We start from the raw sequence: 15318 nt of genomic DNA, 5'->3' as shown, positions 1-15318 counted from the left end.
GTCTGCATTTGTTTTAAACAGCCACTTTCAGGCCCTGGTGGGTAAAGCTGAGCTAATACTCCTCATGGAAAGTTTTACAAACACACAGTCACCCAAACACAATACGCCGGAGCAGAGGATTCCTGCGCCAACAGATGTTCCTCACCAGGAGGAAGGGAGGGAAGTTAGTTTTCCAAATGGAGCAGGATGGTCCCAGAAGGGATCATAACCAGATTCAGAAAAGAGGTTTCCAAATCTAGTTCAACTCAGAAAAATATCATGAGCCTTGCTTCTCTTGTACTACGTATGATAATGGTAATCACGGCAGGGACCCAAGGCACAGCACTCATAAACTCATTTGACGCCGAGGTGCCAAGTACTGGGCTGGGCACTTTAATTATTTCATTTCCTCCTCACAATAACTCTTTGAGGCATATATGATCTCTATTTTAGAGCTGAAGAAACTAGAAAGCAAAGAGGATAAGCAACTTGCCCAAAGTAAGCTAGCCAATAACTGACTGCCTGAATTCAAGTCCAGGTTTAATTTCAGAGAAGCAAATTGACTTTAATACAGATTCAAGCCAGAAAAAATACAGGCCAATTTTGAAGAAAAGCTTCTGCTGCAAGTCCAAATATTAACAAATACTGAAAACAGCATTTAGACCAATAATGACTTGCCTTAAGAATGGAAAGCTGGCTGGGTGTGGTGGCTCACGCCTGTAATCCCAGCACTTTGGGAGGCTGAGGTGGGCAGATCACTTGAGATCCGGAGTTCGAGACGAGCCTGGCCAACATGGAGAAACCCGTCTCTACTACAAATACAAAAATTAGCCGGGTGTGGTGGCACACACCTGTAATCCCAGCTACTCGGGAGGCGGAGGCAGGAGAATTGCTAGAAACCGGAAGGCGGAGATTGCAGTGAGCTAAGATCGCACCACTGCACTCCAGCCTGGGTGACAGAGTGAGACTCTGTCTCAAAAAATAAAAAAAAGAAAAAAGAAAAAGAAAAAAAACAGGAAGCTGACACCAGGGTCAAGGAGTAATGGACAAGACAGGTACTATAGAGATCTCCAACCACATCCCATTCACTATAGTCTTTTCTCTCCCCTTCTCCAGTTTTCCATCGCTTCCTTTTCCCATATCCTTCATTTTCCTTTTGTACTGCAGCATAGTGTTGAATATGAACTTTGCAGTCAGATGATCCTGTGTTCAAATCTAGAACTCACATCTTACTGTGTAACTTTGGCAGATCATATAACTTCTCTAAGCCTAAATTTCCTCCACTATAAAAGGGGGATAAAATCCTCTACCTTTTAGGGTATTTAAGAAATTATATCAAATATACATAAAGAGATGATCAGATCACTAGTAGGCTAAATGGTATTTCTTTTTGAGAGTCAGTGAGGTTTAGTGGAAATGACATAAAATTTAGAGTTAAACAGTCTTGAATTTGAATTCTTGCTCCACCACTTACTGGCAAGTCCTATAAACGTTCTATGCCTCAGTTTCCTTATCTACAAAATGGAGTAAATAATATAGATCTAATAGAACGTGAATGAAGTGATAAACATTTACAATTGTATCTGGCTATCAATAGGCATTTAACAAATAAAGCTGCTTCTCAGTAGAACTTGCAGTAGCTGACTTGTCCTCTAGTAGTCCCTAGTTGGTGACAACTGATCTATTTACTCAGGCATTTCACCACTAAGGACCAGGAAGAGTGCCAAAGCACTAAGGAATTTTAACTTTGAACCTATCTTTTGAGGCTGTAAATATAAAAAGACAGAGAATGATACAATGCAATAAAAAGACCACCATAAGGAAGCCTGGGTCTGTTCCAGCTTGAGCACTAACCACCTGTATAATGCCATAAATTACATGGCCAGATCTGTAACATATGAGGGTTGGCCTAGATTAGTGGCTAATGTCCAGACATTTTTTTTTTTTTTTTAAGATGGACTCTTGCTCTGTTGCCCTGGCTGGAGTGCAGTGGTGCGATCTCGGCTTACTGCAACCACCGCTTCCCGGGTTAAAGCAATTCTCCTGCTTCAGCCTCCCGAGTAGCTCGGATTACAGGCATGCACCACCATGCCTGGCTATTTTCTGTATCTTTAGTAGAGACAGGGTTTCGCCACGTTGGCCAGGCTGGTCTTGAACTCCTGACCTCAGGTGATCCACCCGCCTTGGCCTCCCAAAGTGCTAGGATTACAGGCGTGAGCCACTGTGCTCAGCCTGGACATGTTTTTTATTGTCACAGTTGGGGGATTGCTACTGGCATCAAGTGGGTAGAGGCCAGGAATGCTGCTAAACATTCTACAATGCACAGTACAGACCCCCACAACAAAGAATTATATGGTCAAAATGTCAACAGCGCTGAGGTCAACAAACTCTGGCCTAGATGACTAACAAGTTCTCTTCAAACTCTAACATACTAAGAGGCTATGACAAGGCAGCACTGACACAGTTTGTGCATCTGTCCCCTCCAAATCTCATGTTGAAATGTGACCCCCAATGTTGGAGCTGGGGCCTGCTGAGAAGTGTTTGGGTCATGGGGACAGATCCCTCATGAATGGCCTGGTCCCCTCCCCACAGTAATGAGTGCGTTCTTGCTCTATTAGTTCACACTGGAGCTGACTGTTTAAGAGAGTGGCCTCCCTCCCATCTCTCGCTCTCTCTCTCTCGCTGTGACAAGACTGTCTCCTTCCCCTTCTGTTACAACTGGATGCTCTCTGAACCCTCAGCAACAGCAGATACTGGCACAATACTTTCTATAAAGCCTGCAGAATTGTGAGCCAAATAAACCTCTTTTCTTTATAAATTACTAAGCCTCAGGTATTCCTTTATAACACAAAATAGACTAACACAAGCACCAACACTGATCAGGTGACATTCTTGTCAACATCTACCTCTGAATGGCTTCTTAAGATGCTGCTCTAAATCCCCCTAAAGTCAGATATTTAGATACTCCCTCCATATCCACTAAGGGAAATTTAGATAGTTCCCTCAGATATTTTGATATCTGAAATCAATGCCATATTTCTGAGCAGTCCTTCCTTTGTAATAAGAAGAAACCTAGGGATGAAAGACACACTGTATCCTTTATAGTTAGAATCCATGCTTCCAAAGTCATGAGATTCCTTCTGGGAGAGCAGATAATTTAAATAAATATGAATCAAGGTCAGGTGTGGTGGCTCACACCTGTAATCCCAGCACTTTGAGAGGCCAAGGCAGGCAGATCGTTTGAGCCCAGGAGTTTGAGACCAGCCTGAGCAACACAGTGAGACCACATTTCTACAAAAACTACAAAACTTAGCCGAGCATGGTGGCACACGTATCTGTAGTCCCAGCTACTCAGGAGGCTGAGGTGGGAGGATCACTTAAGTTCAGGAGGTTGAGGCTGCAGTGAGCTGTGACTGCGCCACCCTACTCCAGCCTGAGTGACAGAGCGAGACCCGGTCTCAACAAAAAAAAAAAAAAAAAAAAAAAGAATCAAGGTTAGAAGATGTGACACACACAACAGTAAAGATGAATCTTGGCCAGGTGTGGTGGCTCACGCCTGTAATCCCAGCACTTTGGGAGGCCAAGGCAGGTGGATCACAAGGTCAGGAGTTTGAGACCAGGCTGGCCAACATAGTGAAACCCCGTCTCTACTAAAAATAAAAAAATTAGCTGGGCATGGTGGCAGGCGCCTGTAATCCCAGCTACTCAGGAGGCTGAGGCCAGAGAATCACTTGAAACCAGAAGGTGGAGGTTGCAGTGAGCCATGATCGCACCACTGCGCTCCAGCCTAGGCAACAAGAGCGAAACTCCATTTAAAAAAAAAAAAAAAAAGATGAATCTCAAATACATCACGCAAAGTGAAAGAAGCCAGATTCAAACAACTACATACTGTTTGATTCCATTTTTATGACGTTCTGGAACTGATAAAACTGTAGGGACAGAAAACAGATCAGTAATTGTGAGGGCCTGGGGAAATAGACTATAAAAGAGCATGAAGCAATTTTTGGGATGATAGACTATTTTGTATATTGATTGTAGTGTCAGTTACACACCTGAATGTGTTACTGTACATTAAAAAGGTGAATTTGGCCAAGCGTGGTGACTCATGCCTATAATCCCAACACTTTGGGAAGCCAAGGCGGGAGGATCACTTGAGCCCAGGAGCTCAAGACCAGCCTAGACAATACAGCAAGACCCTATCTCTATTAAAAATAATAATAAATAATTGTTAAAAAAGAAAAAAAGGTAAATCTTTCACTATATCTAAATTATACTTCAATAGACTGACCCCTCCTCTCAAAATTTGATCACTAATGCTGTGGAGAGCTGGATGTGGTGGCTCACACCTGTAATCCCAGCACTTTGGGAGGCCAAGGCAGGTGGATTACTTGAGGTCAGGAGTTCGAGACCAGCCTAGCCAACATGGCGAAACCCTGTCTCTACTAAAAATACAAAAATCAGTTGAGCATGGTGGCACACGCTTGTAGTCCCAGCTACTCAGGAGGCTGAGGCACAAGAATCGCTGGAACCCAGGAGGCGGAGGTTGCAGCGAGCCAAGATTGAGCCACTGTACTCCAGCCTGGGTGACTAAGACTCTGTCCACACACCCCCACCCCCCACTCCAAAAAAAAAAAAAAAAAAAAAAAAAAAAAAAAAAAAAAACGCTGTGAAGAGGATAAACTGGGTTACATCCAAATTCTTTTCCACCCCAAGTCCTAAGATTGTATAGATTCCACCTTTCTTACCCGTCCGTGGTGGCCTCAGAGCCATAGTGATTAGGGTTAAACCTGAGCTCCAATTTCTGTGTTAAAGCAATGAGGGCCTCTGATTGTATCATGTAGATATGAGTCCTGCCACCACTCTGGGACCTCTGGCTCCACTCCAGCTTGTGACAGAGGTTCCCTTCCTTCTCTTTCCTATCCTAACTCCTCCTGGGACCAATGAGGGACTCAGACAATTAATAAACAAGCCAGAAGAAACCTCAGGAGACACTGGTTTATCTCTCTGCACAGGCTTCCTGTCTGGATCTCATTTGATCTTTCCATCAAATTTCAAATCAGGCAAAAGAAGAATCATATTTATGAATTTCCCTCCTCTATGGCCTTTTGGGCTTTCACTAGATTTTTATACAGTTAAGACACATAAATGTAAAATACGGGACTCACAACCAAACTCATACTCAAGCTTAATGATACTAATACACACACACAGACACACACACACACACACATAAAATTTTAACACATTCACACACCCCCTCTAAGATGACTGATTTATCAAATGTTATACAAAATAGTTAATTCCTCTTATGTACAGAACAGCCACACGTATGCCATGGCCAGGCAGGTCTCAAACAGCTATCAGAATGCTCATACTTTCCGCTAACAGAAAGGCCACTGTCTTCTACGCCACAAATACAGTCACAACTGTGGACTGTTATAGGAGTCCCATCTTTCTTACTCAAAGTTAGTTACTTTGCTGGTTCTTCTTGGAGGAGCTCAAGGGAATGGTTACAAACACTAGTAACCAGATGCCTCATACACACTTGAGTGCTGGGATAAAAAATCAAGGGCCACCCTGGCATGGTGACTCATGCCTGTAATCCCAGCACTTTAGGAGGCTGAGGTGAGCGGATCACCTGAGGTCGGGAGTTCGAGATCAGCCTGACCAACACGGAGAAACCTCGTCTCTATTAAAAATACAAAATTAGCCAGGCGTGGTGGCACATGCCTGTAATCCCAGCTACTCAGAAGGCTGAGGCAGGAGAATCGCTTGAACCCAGGAGGAGAAGTTGTGGTGAGCCGAGATGGTGCCATTGCACTCCAGGCTGGGCAACAAGAGCGAAACTCCATCCCCCCAAAAAATAAAATAAATAAATACATAAATCAAGGGCCACAAGACAAGCCTAGACCTGCCCCTGTCCTCGTATTCAAAAGGACAGAGAAGACTCAGTGGAGGGCAGGTAATGTCCACACTGCTCTTTTGTACTGAGCATTAACAGCAAACACATTAGGACTACAAAGGTGAGATGCTTATATAACAGAAGAGGCCCACTGTGACAGCAAATCCCACAGTGGTCTACGGTCTTATTTCTGTGTGTTCCTTTCAGAAGGGAAGAATGGGGTAATTTAGAAATATTTAAATTTAGAAATATCTAAATCTGTGATTTAGAAATATTCAATCATCTTCAGAAGTCTACAATAGCAGAAAATCAGTACTGTCTCCTCTGAGTCACTCAGACTTGATAATGTTGTTCCTTTGACATAATTATTAAAAGCTTTATAGCTGGGTGCAGTTACTCATGCCTATAATTCCAGCACTTTGGTAGGCCAAGGTAGGATAATTGCTTGAGCTGAGGAGTTCAAGACCAGCCTGGGCAACATGATGAAAACCTGTCTCTACAAAAAATACAAAAATTAGCTGGGCATGGGGGCACACACCTGTAGTCCCAGCTACTCAGGAGGCTGTGGTGGGAAGATCACTTTCAGCCCAGAAGAAAGAGGCTGAAGTGAGCTGAGATCATGCCACTGCATTCCAGCCTGGGCAACAGAACAAGATCATCTCCGCCCCCCGGCCCCCCACCAAAAAAAAAAAAAAAGTTTTATGAAAGACTGAAATATTTGTCAGAAAACATAGTTTGACTTTTTATTCAAAGTTATATAGAATCCTAGGCAATGACTGTCCAGGTTTCCCCAAAAATATTTCTATTTCCAGTAGTATTTCCCAAGGATATATTCCCATAGTCTTTTCTTTCATATGTGATATGATGATAATGAACCATGAAAGGCCAAGTAAATGGCTTTTCCAATTTTAGGTTTGGACTTTTGCAAAGTACCCTGATAGCTGCTGGGGCAAGGGCTACTGTCTGTGGCCATAGAAGTGAATGAGGCAAGGCTTGCTGGCCATGATGGGGTCTGAGTACATGGCCTTTAACAGTGCTCAAACCAAGACAACACTGCTGCTTCAGAGAAACAGAGAAGTCCTGTAGACCCACTGGCCAGACCTCCTGCTGCCTTGGAAACTTGACCGAGAGCTAAGCAGAACCACAAGACACATGACGGGTGACCAACAGGCTCAGCTGGCAAAGCCTTGGCTGCTCAAACAGCAGATTGATAAGATTCACCTGCCTCCTACCTACCTTGCAGGCTGGCTGACTAGCTGTCTAGCCCTTTTCCACTCTACCTAGGAGGACAAGTACAAGCCTAAGGTTCAAAGAAGATACTAACCTCTATAATTCCCTTGTGCACATGGCTGTTCACCTATCATAGGAGCAGAACACTACCTGAGCTAACTTATACCCACCTGAATCATGAGGAGGCTCAAGCCTAAATGGACACTAGCCAACTTTGATGTCTTGTTCAAGCAGTCTTTTCCCACCTTCTTTGTTCTTTCTGGAAGTGATACCTCTCACTACCATTTCTCAGACCAAAACATCATTAGTTTCAGACAAAAGTATCATAAGAAATAGCCAGGACTCAGATTTCATGTTAATTTCCCAATGATTATCCAGTTATGAAGAAATGAGGAAATACACGATATTACCGCATTTGAAATAAGCTTCTTTTGTTACCTACCATGAAAATGGTTACTTGAAAAGGCCAATGGTTTCTTGATGTATTGAAGTTTCTTCTTTTTGAAAATCTGTTAGTTATTTCAAAGTTTTCTTAAAGTACCAATTAGAGTACTTCCAATCTGTACAACTGTGCTATACTAACCTTGCAAAGTATCTTTATAATAAACATCTTAAATATTATACATAAAAAAAGAACTGAGGTGAAAGAAAAATGATAAATGATATTACCACATCTTGAGATGCATACTGGGGATCCTCTGGGTTGACTGACCAGTAGCAGTAATCAAAGCCAAATGCCATAACCTTCTCCCGGGAGTCCCCAAAGCCATCTGGTCGATTGTCCACCTAAAATCAAACATAGGATCCAGTGTCTTTTCTATCATAATATTAGAATCTGGCCAGTGGCACTTGATCACCCTCTACCATAGCTAGAGAGACTTGGACTGGTCATGAGACTGTTTATATTATCTTCCTGAAAAAGAAAAGGTAATCTTTCTCTCCATCTTATTAGATACAAATAAAGCACAGATAACTAAATTTGTCTGTCATTCTATCATATATCTGCCTACATATGAACCAACTATATGAGATGTGGTAAAGCTTGGGAGAGAAAGCCTCTCCCGCTCTGGGCATCTTCTTATCACTACAGGTTGAATGTCCCTTCTTTGAAATGCTTGGGACCAGAACTGTTTCGGAATTTTTTGGATTTCAGATTTTTTTGGATTTTGGAATATTTGCATATACATAATATCTTGGGGGTGAATCCAAGTCTAAACATGAAATCCTTTTATGTTTCATATACACTTTATAAACATAGCTTGAAGGTAATTTTATACAATATTTTTAATAATTTTGTTCATGAAATAGTTTTGGCTGCAACCCATCACATGAAGCCAGCTGTGAAACTTTCCACTCATGGCGTCATGTCAGCATTCAAAAAGCTTCAGATTTTGAAGGATTTCAGATTTCAAATTTTCAAATTAAGACGTTCAACCTATATTATTTCTTTTCTAAGTATTTCTGCAGAGGATACTGGGAGTACGTGAGTAGTTTGGCCATGGTGCCTGACAGGCTTCATCAACCTGGGGCTTTCACTGAGGTTCCTGGAATATTCAACCCCCATTTAGACACCACATTGGACAGAAGAGTCAGAAGCAATGTAGCTGCTCAAGGTAGATGAGAGTAGAACCAGAGCTTGGCCTTGCACTGACCTCCAGGTACTGAGGAGAACAGCATTATTCACAGAAATGCCTTATCTTATACACTCCGGACAGGGAAAGACAACCCTGCCACTAGCCATCATAAACTACAGAAGAATTAGGCTGCCAGAATGATTAAGAGATTCTTCCTGGATAACTGACCACAGGGAAGTCAGCAGCCAGGGAGGTGTGCAGAAGGCAGATTAAAGTTTGATCTTGGCTGAGACTTATTCTTAAGAACCAAAAACATGAGAATCTTACAACAAAGCAGCTGAAGTGATTAGGCGACAGCAATATAAATAAGAGACAGCAGAGAATAAAAGGTCCTTTGTCCCTGGGGAGCCCCGTTGAAAGTCTGGTAGGTCCCCATTGTTTTTTAGCAGAGAACTAATGACAAGAGGAAACACATCACATCACAGGAGTAACAAGAGAGCAGGCATGACTGTGAAGACTGGGGTCCAAATAACTCTGTTTTGCCAGTTTCCTCAGCTCTCAGGAATGCTGAGTACCACCTGCAAGCTGACTATAGCAAAAGTCACATGGTCAGCTTCCCCAGTCTCTCTCCACTCCCCAAGGCCCAGAAAGAAAGAAACCCCTCCGTCTTCTGTTTGCCTGGTAAATGGAGTAACAGGATGGAGAAAAATTAGCCCTAAGGGAGACTGAGGGGTACGGAAGGAAGTTCCAAATGTCTGTCCAATTATGACTCTAAGTTCAGTAAGATCTGTGAAAGAGAATCTGTAACAAAACCCAGGCTAGTGACTGACTCCCTTCTGGGATCTGAAAGATGTTACTTGGATCTCAGTATAGCTAAAAGAAACCCTGCATTACCAGGTGCATACTACAATGCCTAATAATGTCTCTAGATAAAGTGGTATCAACTGAAAAGATAAGGACAAAGTTTAACTGGTGGTCAGGTGAGTTAAATAGAATATGGATTGCCTGCAGCACGATTTAAGTTAACTATTGCCCCCAAAACATCCCAAGTTTACTTTCAAAACATCTACCAACTAATTTCCAAAACAGATGCACCCTATCTGATAAAACTTAGGCTGCAGCAGCCAAATGCCCTGCACTTCTTTCTTGATTTCTTGATTTGCTTTATGATTGGCATAAGCTCCTCCCCCTATTCCTCTTATATACCCCTTCCTCCCCAACTCTAAACACATTCACATATACACCTTCAGCCTGGAAGCCCCTGTAACAATATTAGCTCCTCAGTGGAAAGAAAATGAAAAACAATTTCAGGCTTACCTTTAAATTCCTGATTTTTGCCACTTTGCCATCAACTTCCACAATAATTCTTCCCCCTTCTTTGGTCTCCCTAGAAACAAGACCCAAGCTCAGAAGAAATGTTGTTTTTAAAATCAAGAAAAAAGAGCCTAAAACCAGTGCTAGTGGGACAAAATATTTCCCTACTGCTGTACCCTTAAGAGAAGCGTCTGTCTCCATAAATGGCTATAAGCGTCGCATCAAGCAGTCCCCTAGCTGGCATGCTTCCCTGGATCTTTACAATTTGGCTCTGCAACAGCTCACATTCACATTTAGTACCCTCTATGTGTAAGGCACTTTATTAGGGGCACTACATATTGTTCTTCATCTTACGCTATCCTCCTACGTATCCTCCTGACATAGCTTGCTAACATATCATTTTTACAGGCAGAGGACTAAAGCTGAGAGAAATTATGTAACTTGTCCAAGGTCACACAGCTATCAGTGGCAGAGCTAGGATTTAAACTCATATTTGTCTGACCAGGAAGCCTAGGCTCTGAATTATACCTTAGAAGTCAGGCTTAGAAACCCTAGAGAGTGCGGGGAGCAGTGGCTCACACATACAATCCCAACTACTTGCAAGACTGAGAGGCAGGAGGACTGCTTGAGCCCAGGAGTTCAAGGCTGCAGCAAGCTATGATCACGATGCTGCACCCCAGCCTGAGTGACAGAGCAAGATCTCATCTCTCAAAAGAAAAGAAACTCTAGAGAGCATCCTTGGCCCAGCATATAACACGGCATCATCTCTCATTTTCTCCAGCATTTTGGGCATGGATATTGACAAAAAAAAAGTATTGGAATCCTCTCTGCTGAGACCCTGAGAATATATTTCTCAAATCCTTTCTTTATATCTTCTTAAATCAGAAGCAGGGCCAAGCTCCTCAAGAATCTTCCTATGTTGCAGTTATGTGGTAATACTGCTAACAACTAAACAATCTCTACACTCACTTTAATGGGCTTAATCCAGATGACCCACATACCTGATACCTATCCTTTTTCATAATATGAAAAGCCACAGCTAAAGTACTCATGACCAAAATGTTAACAGATGAGAATTAATTAGAACATCCTCCACTACAAACAATAAAAGTTATCAATTAAATTACTCCTAGCCTAGAACCTGAAAGTTGAGACAATACCTTCAGTCTTATTTTTTATCCTTCCTCAGGCTTCCCAGGCTATGACCTAGAGGACTGGGGGTAGGAGAAACACAGTGAGACAGGGGTCTTTAGATTTAATTTTGTTTATTGATTTATTTAGAGACAGGATCTCACTCTGCTGCCCAGGCTGGGGTGCAGTGGTGCAATCATAGCTCACTGCAGCCTCAATTTCCTAGGCTTAAGCATTTCTTCCACCTCAACTTCCCAAGTAGCCAGGATTACAAGCACTTGCTACCATGCCCAGCTAATTTTTTTGTTGTTGTTGTTGTTGACGACACAGATTGGTATTGAACTCCTGGGTTCATGCGATTCTCCTGCCTCAGTCTCCAAAAGTGCTGGGATTACAGGCATAAGCCACACTGCCTGGCCCCTTGTAAAACGTTTAAAAACCAGACAGCCAAGCACAGGGGTCTGAGGAATAAAGATTGTTGTAATGTATTCTTTTATCAAATGTTCATAAAAACTATTGAAGTAGTTATCCCTATTTTACAGACTTAAAAACAAAAAACAAAAAAAGCTATGTAGGTTTCCTGTCATCGTGGTCGTCGCCGCCGCTGCTGCTGCTGCTGAGGCTGCTGGCGAGGCCCGAGGATCGGCTGGCGGCAGGGGCGGAGCCAGACGAGGGAACTAGAGGAAGCGAGCGAGGAGTGCGCAGAGCTCGCTTTTCCACCCGCCCTAGGAGCTGGAGCAGACCGGCCCGGCGCCGCCGCCTACCCGCCACACAAAGCCCAGAGCCCGCGTCCACAGCCATGTCCTCCTCCGCTGGCAGCGGCCACCAGCCCAGCCAGAGCCGCGCCTTCCCCACCCACACCGTGGCCATCAGCGACGCCGCGCAGCTACCTCTTGACTATTGCACCACGCCCGAGGGGACGCTCTTCTCCACCACACCAGGAGAAACTCAAATCATTTATGATAGAAAGTTTCTGTTGGATCTTCGCAGTTCTTCCATGGCTCAGACCCCACCTGCCATCTGCCCAATATCCCGGGAGTCACTAGCCCTGGCACCTTAACTGAAGACTCCACAAGTAGAAGTCAATAATTTGAACAACTTGAACAATCATGACAGGAAACATGCAGCTGGGGGGTGATGCTCAGTTGGAGATGGGCATCTGACTCTCCTGCAAGGATTAGAAGAAAAGCAGCAACACTGGTACCTGTGTGCACCTGATTTGGCCAATAGGATCAACAGTGAAAAGACAGAAGAGGCAATACCAGCAGTCCCCATTACAGTCTCCGTCTCCCACTCTTCCTCTGGGTGCCAAATGATGGGAAGATGAGCTTCATCTGACCATTTCTTCTCCCTGTCTCCTGTCCCCCTTCCCAGTTAAACAAGTTAGATTGAAGGCCCTTGGTGTATTTCTGTAGCGCTAAGCAGTCCTTAGAGGAAAACAGTTAAACTCTGGCTTTCCTAGTTTTTTTTTTAGACAAAGTCTTGCTCTGTTGCCCAGGCTGGAGTGGAGTGCAGTGGCATGATCTCTGCTCACTGCAACCTCTGCCTCCCGGGTTCAAGCGATTCTCCTGCCTCAGCCTCCTGAGTAGCTGGGACTACAGGTGGCCGCCACCACGCCGGGCTTTTTGTATTTTTTAGCTGAGACGGGGTTTCACCATACTGGCCAGGCTGGTCTCGAACTCTTGACCTTGTGATCCTCCTGCCTTGGGCTCCCAAAGTGCTGGGATTACAGGCGTGAGCCACCACGCCTTCTAGTTGTTTTTTTTTATTGAGAGCCACCCTCATACCCCTCATTTTTGTTCCAAATCAAATACCAACCTACAACTGCCTGGCTTCTTGTTGTTGTGCTTGGGAAGAAATGGGGAAGTCTGAGGAAGGGATACAGAGGCTTGGTGGGCCTAACACCATTCATGTTCCTTTGTATCCCACCTATGGTTCAGTGTTGCAAGATTCTGGGCTTGGGGTCTTTAAAACTAGCAGGGGGGAATGATAAAAAAGAGAGCTGCTTTTCCTTTTACCTTGAGGTATTTGTCCCTTGGGACAGAGCACAGTTTGTGCAACTCTGGTAGCATTACCCTGTGACACTGTTTTGAGGTCCTCTTCCCTTCTTTCCTCTGGGAGGAATGTCTTCTGTCTTTGGTATTATAGTTCATCTTCCCATTCTTTTACTTAGCACATTTGTGCAGGTATTTTTAACTCTGTACATCAGAAGAGAGCCCTTGATAACCAGTCTTGCTCTTCTTCTGCCATTCCTCCCTGCTTGCATCTTGTTGCTGGCAGAGTCCTCTTGTACTTCAAGAAAGTGAAGTGATTTTGTCTGCTCCTAGAGCAGGTCCACACCAAGTAATAGAGGCACTTTAGCCTCCACTTGGTGGGTAACGCCTGATCATAGTATTGTGTCAGATAATGCCTAAGAATGACCTCTGAAGAGTGTTGACCCATTTGAGTACCCAGTCTCAGTAGTCATTTTTAAGTCCAGTGAGCATTGTGATAGTTGTTCTCAGATTGCAGTTTCTTATGTTTTGAGTTTGAAGTTGATTTTCAGAATGTTCTTAGAAAAGAACTGCATTTTTTTTCCTTTGTGGATCTGCTTTGTTTGGCTGCTGGGATAGATAAGCATGGGCTTAAAAAATGTGTTCTTCCAGTTTTCTTGCCTTTCCTATCGTACTCTGAATTTCCCTCCCTACCTCCCTCACTGTCTTCCTCTCTCCTTCCTTTCCTTCCTTTTTCTCTACCTGGCCATTTTACAAATTTACATCAAAGACAGCTCAAGTGTTAGTATCTGAGAATATCTGTCACTCCTCTTATCTGAGAAGTGACCTTTTATTTTTAAGATGACTACAGACCTATTTTTAGATATGTTTTCAGTACCATTTTGAACAGCAACTTTTTAATTAAACATCTTCCAGTGTTAAGAAGGTGAGAAATGTTCACAGGCGAGTCTGCTGTTCTATGTGACCATGTTTTGTCTCCTCTCATCCCCCAGGAGCTCTTTATTTTCCCCTCTAGTTTTGGGTGTGCATGTTTGGAGTTTGTAGTGGTTGGTTTGTAAAACGACCATTCTGCCTTGTTATGGGTTGTTCATGAAAGCCTCATTCTTTTCTCTGACCCTTTAGCTTTTGCATTCACCCTCCTTCCCACCTACCTCTCCTGGGACTACTGATGGGCATAATAATCCCAGGAGAATGACTCCCCTCATAGAAAGATTAAAGCATCCATCCCCTCATAGTTAAGTAGCCATTGGTGTCCTGGGAATTTCTGGTTGGATTTGGTGCCCTGAACTTTCTTAGTAAGAAATCAGATCCCAGGGTGAGAGTAATAAGCCATTTGGCCAAGAAAGAAACCTGTTTGTTTTCCTTTTGAACTATGAAAAGACCCTGTTTGTGAACACATTTTAGAAAGAAGAAAGGAAGGATGTCTGCAGAACTTTGTTCTGTTTTCTGCTACAAAAATGTGAATAGTTCAGAGTGAAAACCTTTTGTGATGATTGATGTCTCTCAGGAATAAGCTGGATCTCCAATGTTTTGGGGATGCTTTGAGTCTCAAAAACTGATAATCAGAAAAGTATCTTCTGTTTGTTTAATGTATCCCTGTTCTGACTTTAATTAAACTCCAAATCTCATTTTACATATTCTTGGAAAAACTTTAAAAAAAAAAAAAAACAAAGCTATACAGTGGGTAAAGAGTAAGTTTTGACAGGGCAAATAGTCTTCTAGAGCCTACAGTATTGGCAGATCAGATGTGTTCTCATAATGGTTAATTGGAGTAGACAAAGGGCAGCAATTTCATAATGAGATATGCAATTTCTGATTATGGGAAACTGTGAGGTAGAGGGGAGGACATCAAAACCATTTCCTATACAGCAGTATCATTTTATTGAGGGTCAGGCTGGGCGTGGTGGCTCATGCCTATAATCTCAGCACTTTGGGAGGCCATGGCAGGTGAGGTCAGGAGTTTGAGACCAGCCTGGCCAACATGGTGAAACCCCGTCTCTACTAAAAATACAAAAATCAGCTAGGTATGGTGGCAGGCGCCTATAATCCCAGTTACTCAGGAGGCTGGGGCAGGAGAATCGCTTGAACCCAGGAGGCGGAGGTTTCAGTGAGCTGAGATCGCGCCATTGCACTCCAGCCTGGGTGACAGAGTGAGACTCCATCTCCAAAAGAAAAAAAAAAAAAAAATTGAGCG

At 43.4% G+C, this 15318-nt stretch overlaps 1 protein-coding gene and 1 pseudogene across 14 annotated transcripts in view, besides 2 other annotated features; one reads left to right on the top strand and one right to left on the bottom strand.

Annotated features, from left to right (window-relative positions):
- STARD9 (StAR related lipid transfer domain containing 9) overlaps positions 1–15318 on the bottom strand; it is a 145393-nt gene that overhangs the window by 127581 nt on the left and 2494 nt on the right. For 10 of the 14 annotated variants that reach the window (XM_011521831.4, NM_020759.3, XM_011521834.4 and 7 more), the window contains exons 2-3: positions 10003–10072; positions 7781–7897 (exon numbers count right to left, since the gene is read on the bottom strand). The exons of 1 other annotated variant lie outside the window; for it this stretch is intronic. In XM_011521831.4, coding sequence (XP_011520133.1) covers positions 7781–7897; positions 10003–10072 — 187 coding nt within the window. Of the gene's footprint in view, positions 1–7780; positions 7898–10002; positions 10073–10175; positions 10598–15318 lie in introns of those variants that run through there. 3 more of the 14 variants (XM_011521836.3, XM_011521832.3, XM_017022440.2) reach the window with 3 other exon arrangements.
- Positions 11595–11644: an enhancer, noted in NCBI's record as "active region_9306". NCBI's record gives its function as "activates an Ori minimal core promoter by ATAC-STARR-seq in GM12878 lymphoblastoid cells {active_cell/tissue: GM12878}" and the evidence as "EXISTENCE:reporter gene assay evidence [ECO:0000049][PMID:35858748]".
- EIF4EBP2P2 (eukaryotic translation initiation factor 4E binding protein 2 pseudogene 2) lies at positions 11708–14774 on the top strand (annotated as a pseudogene).
- Positions 12065–12234: an enhancer, noted in NCBI's record as "active region_9305". NCBI's record gives its function as "activates an Ori minimal core promoter by ATAC-STARR-seq in GM12878 lymphoblastoid cells {active_cell/tissue: GM12878}" and the evidence as "EXISTENCE:reporter gene assay evidence [ECO:0000049][PMID:35858748]".

This window comes from Homo sapiens, chromosome 15 (genome assembly GCF_000001405.40).
Source record: "Homo sapiens chromosome 15, GRCh38.p14 Primary Assembly".
Classification (NCBI taxonomy): domain Eukaryota; kingdom Metazoa; phylum Chordata; class Mammalia; order Primates; family Hominidae; genus Homo; species Homo sapiens.
This window is presented reverse-complemented; position numbering and strand designations above follow the sequence as displayed.